The 18,090-nt window shown below is 38.0% G+C and overlaps 1 long non-coding RNA gene across 2 annotated transcripts in view; it reads right to left on the bottom strand.

Moving 5' to 3' along the window:
- LOC105371348 (uncharacterized) overlaps nt 1–18,090 on the bottom strand; it is a 154,623-nt gene that overhangs the window by 103,935 nt on the left and 32,598 nt on the right. For both annotated transcript variants that reach the window (XR_933748.4, XR_001752255.1), the window contains exon 3: nt 12,709–12,771. This is a non-coding gene — a long non-coding RNA (uncharacterized LOC105371348). The remainder of the gene's footprint in view (nt 1–12,708; nt 12,772–18,090) is intronic.

Raw genomic sequence — 18,090 nt, 5'->3', positions numbered from 1 at the left:
ATTAATCCCTAATTTCTGTCGGTCATGACACTCTACCAAATGTGCATGACAGAATCCTTTGTTCCTTTGGGGCAAGTTTACGTCTATCATTTGCACAATTTTACCAGCCTTTATGGGTCAAAAATGTTCACTAGAACACAAAATAAACTGCAGAAAGAAAGGTCACTGTGTAGTAAATAGCTCTTAACAACAGCAGCTAGAAAACCACATCCTCTGTACAGAGTAGTAGAGCACTCATAAGCCAAGAGCATTGCACCACTCATGGTCCCAGAAGGTCAAACAGAGAAAAATATGGGCTAGCTCACATTGGCTGCGAGCACAGGGATAGCCCTTAGAGTAGGAGGAAAACATATATTAACAGTGTGCTACAACAGATTATATACAATGAAAACATATGTGTATGTGTGTGCGTGCGTGTGTGTGTGTGTGTGTTAGAGAGAGAGAGAGTTTGGTTTTAAAGGTTTGGAGGTTTTTTTTTGTTTTGTTTTTTTGTTTTTGTCTTTTGAGAGAGAAATGGCATAATAAATCAGCATGCTAGTGTCTGCTACCAGAGTGCTCACAGTCTAAAGGGATCACTAATAATTCTTAAGACATGGCAATATTTGTTCTTAAAATGTGCATGACAATATTAATGCAGGTAACTGATGACAAGCCATGGTTACATTTTTGAACCATCTTAACAGAATTTTATGTGAAGATTTAAATTTGAGTGACAATAGGTGCTCAGTGGACCTTTCTGCCCACTAATTATAGTAAAACCATTTAAATTTTGTATGTAAAGTCATTTTATGCAATTAATGCATTAGTTTAATGTATATTAATAGCTAAATTGATCTGTTTTTGTGATCTTGAAGGTTTAAGCTCTCTTGGGGACAAGGGCAGCTATGAAATTATCTGTGACTGCAGTAATTGCTGAGCTATTCTTTCTAAAATACAAATTTTAACTGCCAAACCAGTGATTGCTAACCTTTGCTGGGGATCCTGGTTCATACTCATGACTGTCTCATTCTCATACATTTGTTTCTTTTCTATCCAAATGTTCATCCCAATTCTCCACCACCATCTTCCAGACAAGCCATAGTTTTCTACATTTGAGCATTTTCTTAAACTTCCCAAGTTCTGTCAGATACTTCTGTCTTATTCTTTAATCCCCTGGGCAAATATTAGACCCAAGATCACACGGATAAAACCGCTTACACACTTTATACCCTCAGTAAATGTCAAGGCTCTTATCTCTCTCCATTGATGGCTACTGCAATGGATGCCTCGTTGGACTCCTAGAGCACATATAACCCATATAAAATGGAGAACTTCATCCTGTGACATTGTAGATTACTATTTAATTATTTCAAGTTTTTTTTAATCCTCTCATATAAGATTATAAATTTCTTGGGGGTATTAGTATCTTCATCTGTGAAATGAGAGAGTTGTCTTACGAGTCTCTAGGTTCTTCTTGCCTTAAAGACCTGATGATCCCTCTGGTCATCGTGTCTGTGAACCCCAAATCACTCAGCACAAAGATGAGTACATCTTAGCTCAGTAACTCCATAAAGAGTTAAGAGAAATGATAAACCACAATTTTATCAAGATCAGGTTTAAAGTGGACCTTCTCTGTGTGCATTAGTGTACAGAATACCATTCATTAAGATTTTCTCCTTACTGGTTTAGAGCTAAGAAAATCCACAGGAGTGAGTGTGGGTGTGTGTGTGGGTATAAAACTGAGAGTCAATGAGGGGCCAGGAAGCCTGACAGGTACTATCTTCTGAAATGCTTCCAGGGTTTCTGCTGCCCTCATTAAGGAAAAGTGACTCAAGGCAGAAGTCCTTGTTCTTCTCCTTTCCTCATCCTCAAAGCTGAGTGACCATGAAACCAATAAGACTTAACTTTCAAGGTCTCTCATTTGAGACAGCTCTAGCAATATGTCCACATGGTCCAATGTTTTACAATTTGCAGACATATTTTATTTATAATTGAAGAGACTGCTCTCTCTTTTCTCTCTGATTTTTCCTCCTTGTACTTCCCATCGCTAAAGTGGTAGCAGAGTGACCATGGACAATTTGAAGTCTGGATTAAATGATATAAGGTGGTAATAGATGATCATACATCCTGCTTTGCTTTAGTGGAATATTTGTGTGGTTTATCATCACCTAAATAAAATTAAGCTTTTGCTTGTCCAATAATTGGCAAAGCTAGGATTAAAGCCCAGGTCTGTGCGATTCCAAAGCTGGCATATCATATCATCTGCTGCCCATCATATTCTTCGTGATCCATCAACAGGTCTGTGATTACAGGCATGAGCCACCATGCCTAGCCCTGATATGATGCTCAGGGCTAGGCACGGTGGCTCATGCCTGTAATCCCAGCACTTTGGGAGGCCAAGGTGGACAGATCGCTTGAGCTCAGAAGTTCAAGACCAGCCTGGGCTGGTCTTTATAAAAACTCTTTCTCTACAAAAAATACAAAAATTAGCCAGGCATGATGGCAGGCATCTGTAGTCCCAGCTACCTGGGGGACTGAGGTGGGAGGATTGCTTGAGCCTGGTAGGTTGAGGCTGCAGTGAGCTGCGTTTACACCACTGCACTCCAGCATGGGTGACAAAGTGAGACCCTACGTCAAAAAAAAAAAAAAAAAGAAAAGAAAAAGAAAAAAAGATACGATGCTCTATGCTCAGCTACTTGGCAGCCTTTGGCACTTCTCCCCAGCTCCAACACACTTTTTCTAGACTTTAGTACCCACCACTTTCCTACCTGTACAAACAACTCTGTCAAATTGGATTTCTTGCATTTTCCAGGTTGTGGTTTTGTTCATGCTCTTTCCTCGGGCTAAAATGATCTTACCGAATCACATTTATGTAAGCTCTTATTAATTTCTTGCTAAATAAACATAAAGCACTATCAATGAAGATAATATATGACTCATGATATGTCACTACAGCAAGGTCATCAGTGAAAATTGTTGTTAATGGTTGTTGTCAAATCAATTAAAGAATTGGCCACTTAAAAAAAGCATAGAAACAAAGATCAACCAAGCAGTACTGAACACCTTAAGCACACAGATTTTGCTGTCTAAATGTAAGTAAACATCAACTTTTTGTTTAAAAATTAAAGCACTTTGGAAAAAATGGCTGATTACAGGTCTAGAGCAGGAACTACACAAAACTAGATGATCAGCCAGGCGCAGTGGCTCACTCCTGTAATGCAATTAGTAAAAAAATGCAATTAGTAAAACTCAAAGTAGTGGAAATTCTACAGGGCAACTAGTCTGGTTTTTCAATAAATAAATTAAAACAAAAAAATGAAAAAGGTAAAATCTATAGATTCAAAGAGACTTAGAAAACATATCCACCAAGGACAATAAGTTTAGGTACTTATTATCCCAAATGTAGATGCACACACACACACACACACACACACATACCCCACAGGCACAGAGAGAGACAGAAAGAAGGAGGAGAAAAAAAAAGACATGAAAATTTATACGAGAACTAGATATTTAATTATACTGATTAATTATTGTTAATAATCAGAATAGTGAAATTATTTTTGTATTATATAGATGTACACTGAAATATTCATGGATGAAATGATATATTTTACTTAAAATTCATCCAGTAGGGAGTGGTGTGGGACATAGATGGGTTTATTTACGGAACAAGATGAATCCAAGTGATGAATATGTGATTAATCATTAAGCTACTCACTTTATCTTTATATATGTTTGAAATTTTCCATAATAAAAAAAATTTAAATAAACAAAAAAGAAAATACATGCTTGTGGTCCAGAACCACAGACTATTTTTTATTCCAAAAGGCTGAGTAGATTCTGTTTAGAACTGAACATGATATATAGAAAATGCAGCCTTTTGTACAACCTAATTAATTCACTTGCTCCACCTGTGAAAAAAGGGAAAAAGATAAGAGACTTCTGGCTTTCCCCGGTGGTTCCTAAGTGGTCTTACAGGCTAGGTGTTCAAGAGTCCACGGCTGTAGCAGTATTATTAGCGCCTCACCTTTCAAGATGTTCCTGCCGGCTTCCCGCGGCCTGAACCTGCATCACGGTACCTGTGGGCCTCTCTGTCTGCACACGTGCATGACAGGCTGGGAGAGCTGAGGAAATCACTGCCCAAGGAATAATCCTCACAAATGACTGCCAGGAGTTGTTGCCCAAATCCCACAGCTTCATAACCCATCCACTAGTAAATTCCGAGGTCTGTGCTTTGCACTGCTTCCCAGAGCTTCCCCATGGGGTAACGCCCCAGCAGCCAACTGCGGGCACTGGCCTTAAAGCTCCCCCTGTATCTGGCTGCCTTGCATCATTCCTGTATTCCTTGTATCAGCCCTTCCGTGTATTATTTTACCCGTGTCCCTTGTGCTTCCCAACTCTTTGGCTCAGAGTTTGCTTCTGGGAGAACCCAAGCGAAGATAGAAAGATGAATACAAGCAGAGGTGTATGAGAAAAGCAGACGTTTTCTCTACTACATTCAACATGAAGGGATTTCTCCCCACACCAACCGATTCTCCAGCTCTCTGAACACCAAAGTGGGTGTCCTACAATTCAATCATGATGCTAACTACCTGGGGTTAGTGCACCCCCCACAGGACAAGGGCTCGGTCCCACAAGACTGCCTTCCACTTCGAATGCCACTCCCAAGTAGTAGGTCCCCAGATTACCCACACTTCTGTTCAGCTTGGCTACAAATTGGGGGTTCGCATGGCTCCTTCCTCAGGTTTCATAGTTTGCTGATGGCTCACAGAATTCAGGGAAACACTTAGGTTTACTGGTTTATTATACAGGATACGATCAAGGATACAGATGAAGAGGATATAGGGAAAGGTCTGAAAGGGTCTCAAGGGCAGGAGCTTCTGTGCCCATGGAGTTGGGGTGCACCATCCTCCCAATACCTGGATGTGTTCACCAACCCAGAAGCACCAAGTGCTCAGTACTTTAGAGATTATTATGGAGGCTTAATCAGGTAATCATGATCCATTATTAACCCGATCTTCTTTCCCCAAGAGGAGGTGGGGTGAGGCTGAAAGTTTCAAACTTCTGTGTCTTGTCTTTCTGATGACAATTAAAACAAAAAATGAAAAAGGTAAAATCTATAGATTCAAAGAGACTTAGAAAACATATCAAGCAAGGACAATATGTGGGCAGTTTAGGTACTTATTATCCCAAATGTAGACACACACACACACACACACACACACACACAGGCACAAAGAGAGAGGGAGAGAGCTCTCTCTCTCCATTCAGGAGCCCACCAAAAGTTGGTTCATTAGAATAAAAGATGCTGCTATTGCCCAGGAAATACCAAGAGATTTAGGGTTTCTGTTAGGAACAAGGGTTAGAGACCAAATAGTGAAACAAAAGATCATCCTGGCACCCCATCTACTCAGGAAATTACAAGAGTTTTAGAAGTTCTGTGCCAGGAACTGGAGCAGAGATGACCAAATAAATATTGCTTATTATATCACAAGTCCCATATCTTTCCTTAAAGGAAACTTTAATGACAAAAAATAAGAATATACTTACATATACTATTTACCATGTGCTATGCATTATACATATCTCACTTGATATTCACAGTTACTCTATTTTATAGATGAACAGAGTGATATGATAACCTAACCAAGGTCAAAGAGCTAATAAACAATGGACTTAATAATAATAATATTACTATTTTGTTATTTAAATGATGTTGATAGTGTTAGTTGCTTCTTGAAGGAATGTGGGTAGTGTGTGTGTATGTTGGTATGCACTGTAACAGCTCACTTGGCAAAATAAAATGTGTACTGTAACACAATCCCTTCCCATAAAAAAGATGTAAAAATGACTAGGAAAAACTTTAACCACGTCTTCTGAAAAGGAATACAAGCAGATGAATGGTTCTACTCTTTTTATCCAAATCCCCTTCCTACCCCTCCCCTGCCCAATAAAAATGACGCTAATTTTTTCTTCTGGAAAAAAATATATTTTGAGAACAGAATTGAAAGGAAATGTACTCCAATAGGATAATTGCATCACTCCAGTCTTCCTTCCGACAGAGAAGAAAGCCTCCTGAAATTACACAGCTCAAGATCTGAAAACTCAAATCACCAAATCACCAGAGTGGATGCTGAACCTCAACATGCAGTTAGCTCTGAGATCTGCAAGAAGTATTGCCAGCTGTCAGTCGAAGGACATCTCCTTTACATAGATATACCAAGAATGCAAATCGTCAATGATACTTGTGGCAATTATTTTGCAGCATATACCAGAAAAGGTAAATGCTATTCTGGATGCTGTCTGATCCTGGGACATTTCAATCCTAGACAGCCCTGATCTAAAATGATTCATTCTTAGATGCAGTTGTTCTCCACTTTAAGAAAACCCCAGAGGAACACTCATGTGAGTGGGTTTTTATACACTCATGTGCCACATAAGAGCATTTCAGTCAAAAACAAACCGCATATACCGCGGTGGTCCCATAAGATGAAAATGGAGCTGAAAAATTCCTGTGGCTTAGTGATTTGCGTTATAACTTCCTACATTATTCAGTAAGTAGCATGCTGTATAGGTTTGTAGCCTAGGAACAATAGGCTATACCACATAACCTAGGTGTGTAGTAGGCTACACAATCTAGGTTTACATAAATACTATATACACTCTTTGATGTTCACACAACAACAAAATCATCTAAGGACACATTTCCCAGAACATATCCCCATCATTAAATTACAGGACTGAATCTGTAAAACTTATCAGATAGTGGATGGTAATGCCTATCAAAATATATGCAGATCATTATGTTAAGTGAAATAAACCAGGCACAGAAAAACAAACAGCACATGTTCTCACTTATTTATGGGATCTAAAAATCAAAACAATTGAATTCACGAACATAGAGAGCAGAAGGATGGTTACCAGAGGCTGGGAAGGGAAGAGGAAAGAATGGGGAGGAGGTGGGAATGGTTAATGAGTACAAAAAAAAATAGAATGAATGAGACCTACTACTTGATAGAACAATAGGGTGACCATAGTCTATAATAACTTAATTGTACATTTTTAATAACTAAAAGAGTATAATTGGATTGCTTGTAACACAAAGCATAAATGTTTGAAAGGATGGATACCCCATTCTCTATGATGTGATTATTATGTATTGCATGCCTGTATCAAAACATCTCACACATCCCATAAATATATATACCCACTATATATCCACAAAAAATTAAAAATTAAAATATATATATAAATATGCTTATATTTAAACTTAGAATTTCAATTCAGGAATTAGTTAAACAGAGATAATAGCACGAATCCATAAATATGGGTTTGTAAGGCTTTTTATTAAATCAATACTGTTAATAGCAAAAACAAAAACAAAAGAAAGAACTAAATAAATTGTGTAATAGGGTATTGACTAAACAAAGTGTAATACATCCATAAAAGGGAATCATAGGCATCCATTGCAAAGAAAGAATGATGTTATATAAGACAGACATTCATCATTAGATGTGGAAAGTATATCACTGGAGAATATGGATAATGTAAGCCATTTACATTCTAAACACATATGTAAACATTCAGAAGGTTACACAAGCCCCTCCCTGTTGAGCAATATGAATAAGTTCTAGAGATTTGCTGTACAAAATGGTACCTTTAGTAAACAATACTGTATTGCATATTTCAAAATTTGTTAAGAGGGTAGATATCATGTTAAGTGTTCTTACCACAATAAAATAAAATTGTTTCTTAATATACACACCAAAGAGAAAGTTACATAACAAATCACTGACAGTAAGTAAGAAATCTTCAAGTAAGATTAAGTAAGCTTTCACTTTGGAGTTTCTTAATTTGATTATTTTATGTGGTACATATATACCACGGAATACTATGCAGCCATAAAAAATAATGAGATCATGTTTTTGTGAGAAAATAGATGGAGCTGAAGGCCATTATCCTTGGCAAATTAATGCATGTACAGAAAACCAAGTACTGCATGTTTTTACTTATAAGTGGGAGCTGAATGATGAGAACTCATGGACACAAAGAAAAGAACAACAGACACTGGGGCCTACCTGAGGGTGGAGGGCGGGGGGAGGGAGAAGAGAAGAAAAAATAACTATTGGGTACTAGGCTTAGTGCCTGGATGACAAAATAATCTGTACAGCAAACCCCTGTGACATGAGTTTACCTATATAACAAACCTGCGTATGTACCCCAAACCTAAAACAATTTTTTTAATCTGATTATTTTATTAGTGTCTGTTTCTTTTACAATCAACAGAAAATAAAGATGTTCTGAAAATGTAAAAAGGCAATATAACAAAAAAAGAACTTAGTTTTGTTGTGATATAGTTATCTTAAGGAGATTCCTTGATGAAATTATTCATATATATACTTGAGATAGGGTCTGGCTCTGTCACCCAGGCTGGACCGCAGTGGCATGATCTTGGCTCACTGTAGCCTGGACCTCTTGGGCTCAAGCAATCCTCCCACCTCAGCCTCCTGAGTAGTCAGGACTACAGGTTACACACTGCCATGTCGGGCTAATTCTTTATTTTTTTGCAGAGGCAGAGTGTTGCTATGTTGCCTATGCTGGTCTCTAACTCCTGGGCTCAAACAATCCTCCTGCCTCAGCCTCCCAGACTGCTGGGATTACAGGCATGAGCCACCAGGCCCTGCCCACCAAAAGATACCTTAAAAAATGAATTGTGTCAATGCATTTATACTTAGTTACAGATTATAAACTCCTTGATTTAGGGTTCTAGAAACAGGGCAATTGAAGATTACAGTGCTAAAAGCCACTTTCAGTGGAAGACCCAATAGTAATAAGTCAAAATTGTCTCTAAGTGTATATAACTGAAAATAGTATAAATTTACAAAGTATACACATCAATTTGCAAACTCCCATTCAAATCCAACTTATACAAGCCTCTGTCTATCGTTACCTAAAATAAGGTGCAGGCGTATTTCGGTTAGCTCAGCTCCCTGCAGGTATCTTTGGAGTCAGGGTCACCTGCTGTGCATCATGAGGGTGAATTACACTCTCAAACACAGCAAAGCAGCAGCACCAAGAAGCAAAACGCATCCAACATGAGTCCCAGGGAAGGAGGATAGGAGTCATTGGCAAGATGTAGATAAGAGTCAGACACATTGACTTATATTAGGTTCTCTTGGCTTTTAATTACATTAATTCTATTTTATTACTTAGCTTCTTTTTACAGAACCAAAGAAAATACCTTTGTAAATCTTTGGCACCCTCTTTTGGACAATCTGATTATTTCAAAAACTGAAATTAACGAATTGAATTTCTAAGCATGTTATAGGCAAATTGAAATCAGACACTCATTATTGTTATTTTACATTTTGGGGTTTTTTTAATTAATAGGCTTTATTTTTAGAACATCTTCGGATTTGCAGAACAATCAAGCAGTTAGTAAGAAGTTCTCATATACTCTCCTCCCCCACAGAGTTCCCCCTATTGTTAACACCTTGCATTAGTGCAGTACATTTGTTAAAGTCAACGAAGCAATATTAACACTTTACGATTAACTGAAGTCCATAGTGTACTATAAGGTTGTACATTTCCATGGGTTTCGACAAATTACAGGTATCCACCATTATAGAGTTATAGAGAATAATTTCACTGACTAAAACTTCCCTGTGCTTCACCTCTTCATCCTTCTTTCTTTCTTCCCTAACTCCTGGTAATCAATGATATTTTTTACTGTCTCTACAGTTTTGCCTTTTCCAGAATAACACATCGTGAAATAATAAAATATATGTCCTTCTCAGACTGGCTTCTTTCACTTAGCAATATGTGTTTTAGAGCCCTTCATACCTTTTTGTGATTTGACAGCTCGTTTATTCTTGTCACTGAATAATATTCCATTGTATGGATGCACCAATGTTTGTTGAGCCATTCCCTACTGCGGAACATCTGGATTGCTTCTGGGGTTTTTGTTGTTGTTGTTGTTGTTTGTTTGTTTGAGACAGAGTTTCGCTGTTGTCGCCCAGGCTGGAGTGCAGTAGTGTGATCTCAGCTCACTGCAACCTCCACCTCCCGGGTTCAAGCAATTCTCCTGCCTCAGCCTCCCAAGTAGCTGGGATTACAGGCACCTGCTACCTCGCCTGGCTAATTTTTGTATTTTTAGTAGAGACAGGGTTTCACCATGTTGGCCAGGCTGGTCTCAAACTCCTGACCTCAGGTGATCCACCCACCTCAGCCTCCAAAAGTGCTGGGATTACAGGTGTGAGCCATCACGCTGGGCCGCTTCTGGTTTTTGACAATTATGAATACTGCTGCTATAAGCCTTTGTGCAGGGTTTTGGGTGGGGGGAAACATAAGTTTAATTCATTTGGATATATACTGAGGAGCTTGATTCCTGTACCATATGGTAATACTATGTTTAGTTTTGTAAGAACCTGCTAAACTGTTTTCCAAAGTGACTGTGCTCTTTTGTATTTCCACCAGCAATGAATGAGAGGTCCTGCTATTCTCCTTCCTCACCAGCTTTTAGTATTGTGAGGTTTTTTTGGATTTTGGCCATTCTATTAAGTGCATAGTGATATCTCATTATTGTTTTAATTTGCAATTCCCTAATGATATTTCAACATGAAATTTGGAGGGGGCAAATATCCAAACCATATTCCCAACTTACAGCAATCCTAGGAAAAGTATCCCTTTAGAAAAAGCTAATTTATTTCTCAAGGTGACCTTCACTGTAAAAATGGATATGGCATAGAGCAGTGTGTCCTTGAAAACTAGCTTTCTGGCTGGGCACGGTGGTTCATGCCTGTAATCCCGGCACTTTGGGAAGCCAAGACAGGCAGATTACTTGAGGTCAGGAGTTCAAGAACAGCCTGGCCAACATGGTGAAACCCCATCTCTACTAAAAATACAAAAATTAGCCAAGCGTGGTGGTGGGGGCCTGTAATCCCAGCTGCTCTTGAGACTGAGGCAGAAGAATCACTTGAACCCAGGAGGCAGAGGTTGCAGTGAGCCACCAAGATTGCTTCACTGCACTCCAGCCTGGGTGACAGAGCAAGACTGTCTCAAAAACAAAAAAAGAGAGAGAGAGAGAAGAAACCTAGCTTTCAGTGTGAGGGTGGTGATTGAAATTAGCAATGTAGCTATTGCTGGTTTTCATGGCTTAATCTTGGAAACTTCTTGACTATTTAACAATTGGCTCTCACAGGTAGGATGTGTGATGAGTCTGAGCAGAGAGATTATGTGTTTGCTTTGCTAGCCTCCTTATCCATTTTGTAAATATTGATTCATAAACATTTCCCATTCTAACACTGTTATGAGCTGAAGTGTGTCCCCCCAAAATTTATATGTTGAAGTTCTAACCCCCAATACTGCAGAATGTAAGTATATTTGGAAAGTGAGAGCCTTTAACAGGGGTAGTTAAGTAAAATGCAGTCATTGAGGTGGGCCCTAATCCCATGTGACTGGTGTCCTCATAAGAAGAGCCTATTAGGAGACAGACAGTTACAGAGGGAAGACCATGTAAAGATACATTGAGAAGACAGCATCTACAAGCCAAAGAGGAAGGCCTCAAAAAAAAAAAAAAAAAAAAAAAAAAAAAAAAAAAAAAAAAAAACCTGCTGACACCTTGATCTTGGATTTTACCCTCCAGAATTATAAGAAGATACATTTCTGTTGTTTAAGCCACCCAATCCGTAGTACTTTTCCATGCAGCTTTGGCAAACTAACACAAACACCAACCAGAGAATGTCCCCAAGGTCCTTAAAAACAAGTGCTTCCAAAGAACATTCATATGGCTACATTTTAGCACTAAACTTTCATTTTCAAACCATTGTTTTCTCTTTCACTATGCAGAAGCTGTTCTTGAGGCCGTCTGATCAAGCATGATGCAAATAATAAATGGGGAAAGCTAGACAAAAATGTATCTGCTACCATAGGTAAACTGCTGGCTGCTTCTTGAGGACCATGAATTTTTATAATACCCAAATCATACCAACATTAAAACCGAGTTCGTGAGAATAATTGTGGGGCTGTGCATGGGCCTTATAATATCTCATCATTTCTAAAGTCACAGGGACTGGCATACATACCCAAACAAAAAGAGAAAATGTGTATAGAAAGCTGAGTGATGAGACTCTGGAAATTTGCAGAGAAGTATTTGGACTGAGTGTTTCTATTAGAGCTCAATTCTCCTCCCGCTTCTACTACCAACTATAGGAAGGAACTGAGCAATTCACTTCACTTTGCAAAAGGGGTGCCAGTTTTCTCTTGTGTAAAACAAAGGGGAAAATTCATTGACCAATCTCTAAGTTGCTATAAGCTCCCTAGATTTATAAATTATAAAAGTAGAGGGGATGGTACCCAACAAAAAAACTCAGTTTGTGATGATGAACTTAAAAGAGGCTTGAGTCCATCTTTCCATGGCATCCACATGATGACATAGCCTATATGAAAAAAAGAAAGGCAAAGCATACACCCAAGATTGTCATCCCACTGCAATATAAGACATGGTTGAGGTGACGGCAGTGAAAATGTCAGAATTAGAACCTCCACAGATTTAACTACCCCTCATAAAACAATGAAAAAACCTGACAAAAATTATCAGAAAACTTTTTCAAAACTCTAGAAATTAACCAATGATTTGTAGCAACCCAAGGAGTATTTATTCCCAAAAAAAAAAAAAACTGGCTAAATTGTCATAAAAACATAAAGTTTTTGGTGTCTTTAACTTACCCTATTATCATCCTCCACTGTCCACCTCACCAGCAGCAGCCTTGGAAACCAACACCCTGCATTCTGGTACCAGAGAGAGAAAAGGATACCATTTAAAAAATGCAATCTACAGAATGGGAGGAGATATTTGCAAATTATGTATTTAATAAAGGTATAGTATCTGGAATATGTGAATAACCTTTAAAATTCAATAACAAAAACACAAATAATTGGAAGTCCTAGCTATAGCACAATCAAATAAGAGAAAGAAATAAACAGTATCCAAATTAGAAAGGAAGAAGTCAAATTATCCTTGTTTGGAGATGAAATGATCTTATATTTGGAAAAAACTAAAGACTCCACCAAAAAAAATTAGAGCTGATAAACAAATTCAGGAAAGTTGCAGGATACAAAATCAACATATAAACATCAGTAGCATTTCTATATGCCAACAGTGAAAAATCTGAAAAAAAATTCAAGGAAGTAATCCCATTTACAATAGCTACAAATAAAATAAAATACCCAGGAATTAACCAAAGAAGTGAAATATCTTTACAATGAAAACTATGAAACATTGATGCAAGAAATTGAAGAGGACATAAAAAAATTGAAAGACATTCCGTGTTCATGGATTGGAGGAATCAATATTGTTAAAATGCCCATACTTCCCAAAGCAATCTACAGATTCAATGCAACCCCTATCAAAATACCAATGACATTCTTCACGGAAATAGAAAAAGCAATCCTAAAATATATATGGAACCAAAAAAGACCCAGAATAGCCAAAACTATCCTAAGCAAAAAGAACAAAACTGCAGGAATCACATGACCTGACTTCAAATTATACTACGGAGCTACAGTAACCATAACAGCACTGTATTGGCATAAAAACTGACACATAGACCAGTGAAGCAAAATAGAGAACCCAGAAATAAATCCATACATCTACAGTGAACTCATTTTTGACAAAGGTGCTAAGAAAATACATTGGGGAAACAATAGTCTCTTCCATAAATGGTGCTGGGAAAGCTGGATATCCATAGAAAAAAATGAAACTAGACACCTACCTCTCATCTTATACAAAAATCAAATCCAAATGGATTAAAGACTTAAACCTCAGACCTTGAACTATGAAACAACTAAAAGGAAATATTAGGGAAACCCTCCAGAACATTGGACTGGGCAAAGATTTATTGGTTAATATCCCAAAAGCACAGGCAACCAAAGCAAAAATGGACACATAGGATCACATCAAGTTAAAAAGCCTCTACACAGCAAAAGAAACAAGCAACAAAGTGAAGAGACAACCCACAGAATGGGAGAAAATATTTGCAAACTACCTCCTCTGACAAGGGATTAATAAACAGAATATATAAGGAATTCAAACAATCCTATAGGAAAAAATTGAATAACCCCATTTTAAAATGGGCAACAGATCTGAATACACATTTCTCAAAAGAAGATATACAAATGACAAACAGGTTTATGAAAAAGTGCTCGACGTCACTAATGATCAGAGAAATGCAAATCAAAATACAATGAGATATCATATCACCCCAGTTAAAAAAGCTTATGTCCAAAACATAGGCAATAACAAATAACAGAGAGGATAAGGAGAAACGGGAACCCTCGTACACTGTTGGTGGGAATGTAAATTATGGAACCACTATGGAGAACAATTTGAAGGTTCTCAAAAAAAACTAAATATAGAACTACCATACGACTCAACCATCCCATCCTAAGTACACAGCCAAAAGAAAGGAAATCAGTATATCCAAGAGATATCTGCACTTCCATGTTTTTTCCAACACTGTTCACAATAGCCAAGATCTGGAAGCAGCCTAAGTGTCCATCAACAGACAAATGGATAAAGAAAATATGGTACATGTACACAATGGAGTACTATTCAGCCACAAAAAATAATAGGATCTTGTCGTTTGCAACAACATGGATGGAACTGGAGGTCATTATGCTAAGCGAAATAAGTCAAGCACAGAAAGACTAACTTCACATGTTCTCACTTATTTGTGGGACTTAAAAATTGAAACAATTGTGCCAGGCGCGGTGGCTCAAGCCTGTAATCGCAGCACTTTGGGAGGCCAAGGTGGGCGGATCACGAGGTCAGGAGATCGAGACCATCCTGGCTAACACGGTGAAACCCCGTCTCTACTAAAAATACAAAAAATTAGCCGGGCACGGTGGCGGGCACCTGTAGTCCCAGCTACTCAGGAGGCTGAGGTAGGAGAATGGCGTGAACCCGGGAGGCAGAGCTTGCAGTGAGCCCAGATGGGGCCACTGCACTCCAGCCTGGGTGATAGAGCAAGACTCTGTCTCAAAAAAAAAAAAAAATTAAAATAATTGAACTCATGGAGATAGAGAGTAGAAGGATGGTTACCAGAGGCTAGGAAAGGTAGTGGGGGACAGGGTGGGGTAGTGGGTATGGTTAATGGGTACAAAAAATAGAAAGAATGAATAAGACCTAGTGTTTGCCAGCACAACAGGGTGACTATAGACAAAAAAGAATTTAATTGTACATTTTTAAATAACTAAAAAAGTATAATTGGATTGTTTGTAACACAAAGGAAAAATGCTTGAGGCAATGGATATCTCATTTTCCCTGATGCGATTATGACACATTGAATGCTTGTATCAAAATATCTCATATATTCCACAAATATTTATACCTCCTATGTACCCACAAAAATTTAAAATTTAAAAAAGACAAATAACCCAAATAAAAAAATGAGACAGAGTTCAAATGGACATTAGATGGATGGATGGATGGATGGATGGATAGATAGATAGATAGATAGATAGATAGATAGATATAGCAAATACTCAATTGAGAAACTGCTCAACATCCTTCCTTAGTCACTAGAGAAATAAAAATCAAAGCCACAATAAGGTACCCATTTATTTATTTATTTATTTTTTAATAAGGTACCCATTTATATCTACTAAAATGACTATCATTTTGAAAATGGAAAATAACAAGTGTTGTAAGGATGTAGAGAAGCTGGAACCCCTCATACATTGCAGGTGGAGAGGTAAAATTGCACAGCTGCTGTGAGAAACAGTTTGGCTATTATTCAAAAAGGTAAACAGAGTTACCATACGATTCAGCATTTCCACTCCTAGATATACTCAAGAGAAAGGAAAACATGTGTTCATTCACACAAAAATTTGCACACATTCACAGTAGCCAAAAAGTGGAAACAAAACAAACGTCTATCAACTTATGAACACGTAAATAAAATGTAGGACACTTAGACAATAGCATAGTGTTCTGTTATTTAGAAACACGAAATGCTGATACATGCTACAACATAGATGAACCTTAAAAACATGAAGTGAAAGTAGCCACACATAAAGGAACACATACCATTTGACTCAGTTTAAATGAAAAGTCCAGAATAAACAAATCCTTAAAGACAGACAGCACAATCATGGCTTCCTCTTTTTGAGAGTGGGTGAAAATATTCCAGAACTTGATAGTCATGATGGTTGCACAACCTTACGAATCTATCCAAACCCACTGAATTGTACACTTTAAAATGGTGAATTTTATGGTGTGAATTATCTTCTGATTTTTAAAAAGACATACAATTAAACCAAATATTGCTACCGATTCCAAAAGCATGGGACAAACCAGCCATATCACTAATGTGGCTTCTCTGATTTTGACACATATTTTCCATCTTTCAAGAATCCAATACTGTTGCCGATAAAGCATTTTCATTTTAAGCTTCATAATAAGCCGGTCCATTGTTGTCATCATTCCTCGTCTGACATGTGATTTTATTTTATTTCCACAACATAGTGAATTTTGATAGATCACAGTAATTTCAATCCATGAGGATCTTTCAACTGTAGGAGTGAATTAGAAAGATATTTTTATATTGCCTATTTGAGATAACAGGTCCTAGCACCATGCTTCAGGCAAAATACATCAAAAGAATGAACTGAAGGTTAAGTTTCCTTTTAGATCTCAATTTTTATAACATCACAAAAATTCTTGCCTGAAAGCAGCCAAATTATTCAACTGCAAGACGTTCTATATTCACCTCATTCAGCCTGAGGGAAAGAACAAAGTCAGTAACTGGAGACACCTCTAAGGTTGAGGTGCATTCATCTTCTCATTATGCTCTTATGAGCCTCCAATCCCTGAATACAACACCAATACACTCCGAGAGAAAATGCAAGTAAAAGCTTTTTGAAAAGCTTTCTATTATGTCGTATTTGCAAAGGTAATTCTCACGTGAAAAGAAGCAATAAGAAACTCAAGTAATGAAATTTAAATACCATGTAAAACAATTATTACCATTTTATCCTACCCAAATCAGTCAATTAAATGGAACTCTCTCTCTAAATTAGTTTTAGATAGCATTTAATCCCAATTTAATAAAAGAATTACTTTGTATATGTACTTGTTTCTGGGCAGAAAGTCTCTTGCTGTGATTATGAAATCTTCCAAAGGAAAGGCTAGTGAGCCCTTTGCCTCTAATGCTGTTTACTGGAGAGCAGTGTTTGCATTCTGTTTAAGGTGGCTCTGTGGGGAATCCAGAGGTGTTTATTCACTGAACTACCTAGAGATCCTTATTATAAAATGATTTCAAATATAAGGGAATCCACTGACATATTATCCAGGAGCAACTTTGATGACAAATTTATATTTGATCAGGTCCTTCTTGGCTTCCATCTGTTTTCCGTAGGGCCTGGTCCTGTGCTATGCAGACAGAGCCCCCTGGGGTTGTGCAACACTGTGGTACTGCTTAATAAATGCTTCTTGACATTGATGATGATGACAATGGGTGTGCCATCAGGTGCTATGATGCACGTTCATTTATGCACATGGTCAATGATTTTGTATTGATCCCTCCATTTGTGCCAGGTCCTATCTGGGCATTGTTGACACAATGATGAACAAGAAAGGCAAGACCCCTGACCTCAAGCAGCTTTACATTTTGGTGAAGGGAGACAGAAAATAAACACAGCAGAAGTGAGTAAGATCATTTCAGACACTGATAAATGCTGTGGAAACAATACAGTTGAATCACGAAAATGGAAGTGACGGGGCAGGACTATTTATTTACAATGGCTCACTGAAGTGCACAGAGGCAGCCAGCCCATCAGGCAGTCCTGCAGCTTCTAAGACCAGTGGAGCGCCTATGCTGAGAGCACCAGGAAAACATGGAAGAGTCCAGGAATAGATGTTTGAAGGCCACCTAAGGAATCAGTGTACCAATAAAAACATCCAACTCACATCGGGCTTACACCGGGGACTGCTTTTAAAAAGTCTCCCATTATACCTGGTGGCCGTTCCTTTACACACACAGTAGCTCTATCCTATTTCAGCTTTCAAAATGTAGTCAGCTAAAGACTGGCCATAGTTCTGATATTTCA

Source organism: Homo sapiens, chromosome 16, assembly GCF_000001405.40.
Source record: "Homo sapiens chromosome 16, GRCh38.p14 Primary Assembly".
In the NCBI taxonomy this organism is placed as follows: Eukaryota; Metazoa; Chordata; class Mammalia; order Primates; family Hominidae; genus Homo; species Homo sapiens.
Note: the sequence above shows the minus strand (reverse complement) of the source record. Positions and strands in the feature narration are given on the sequence as shown.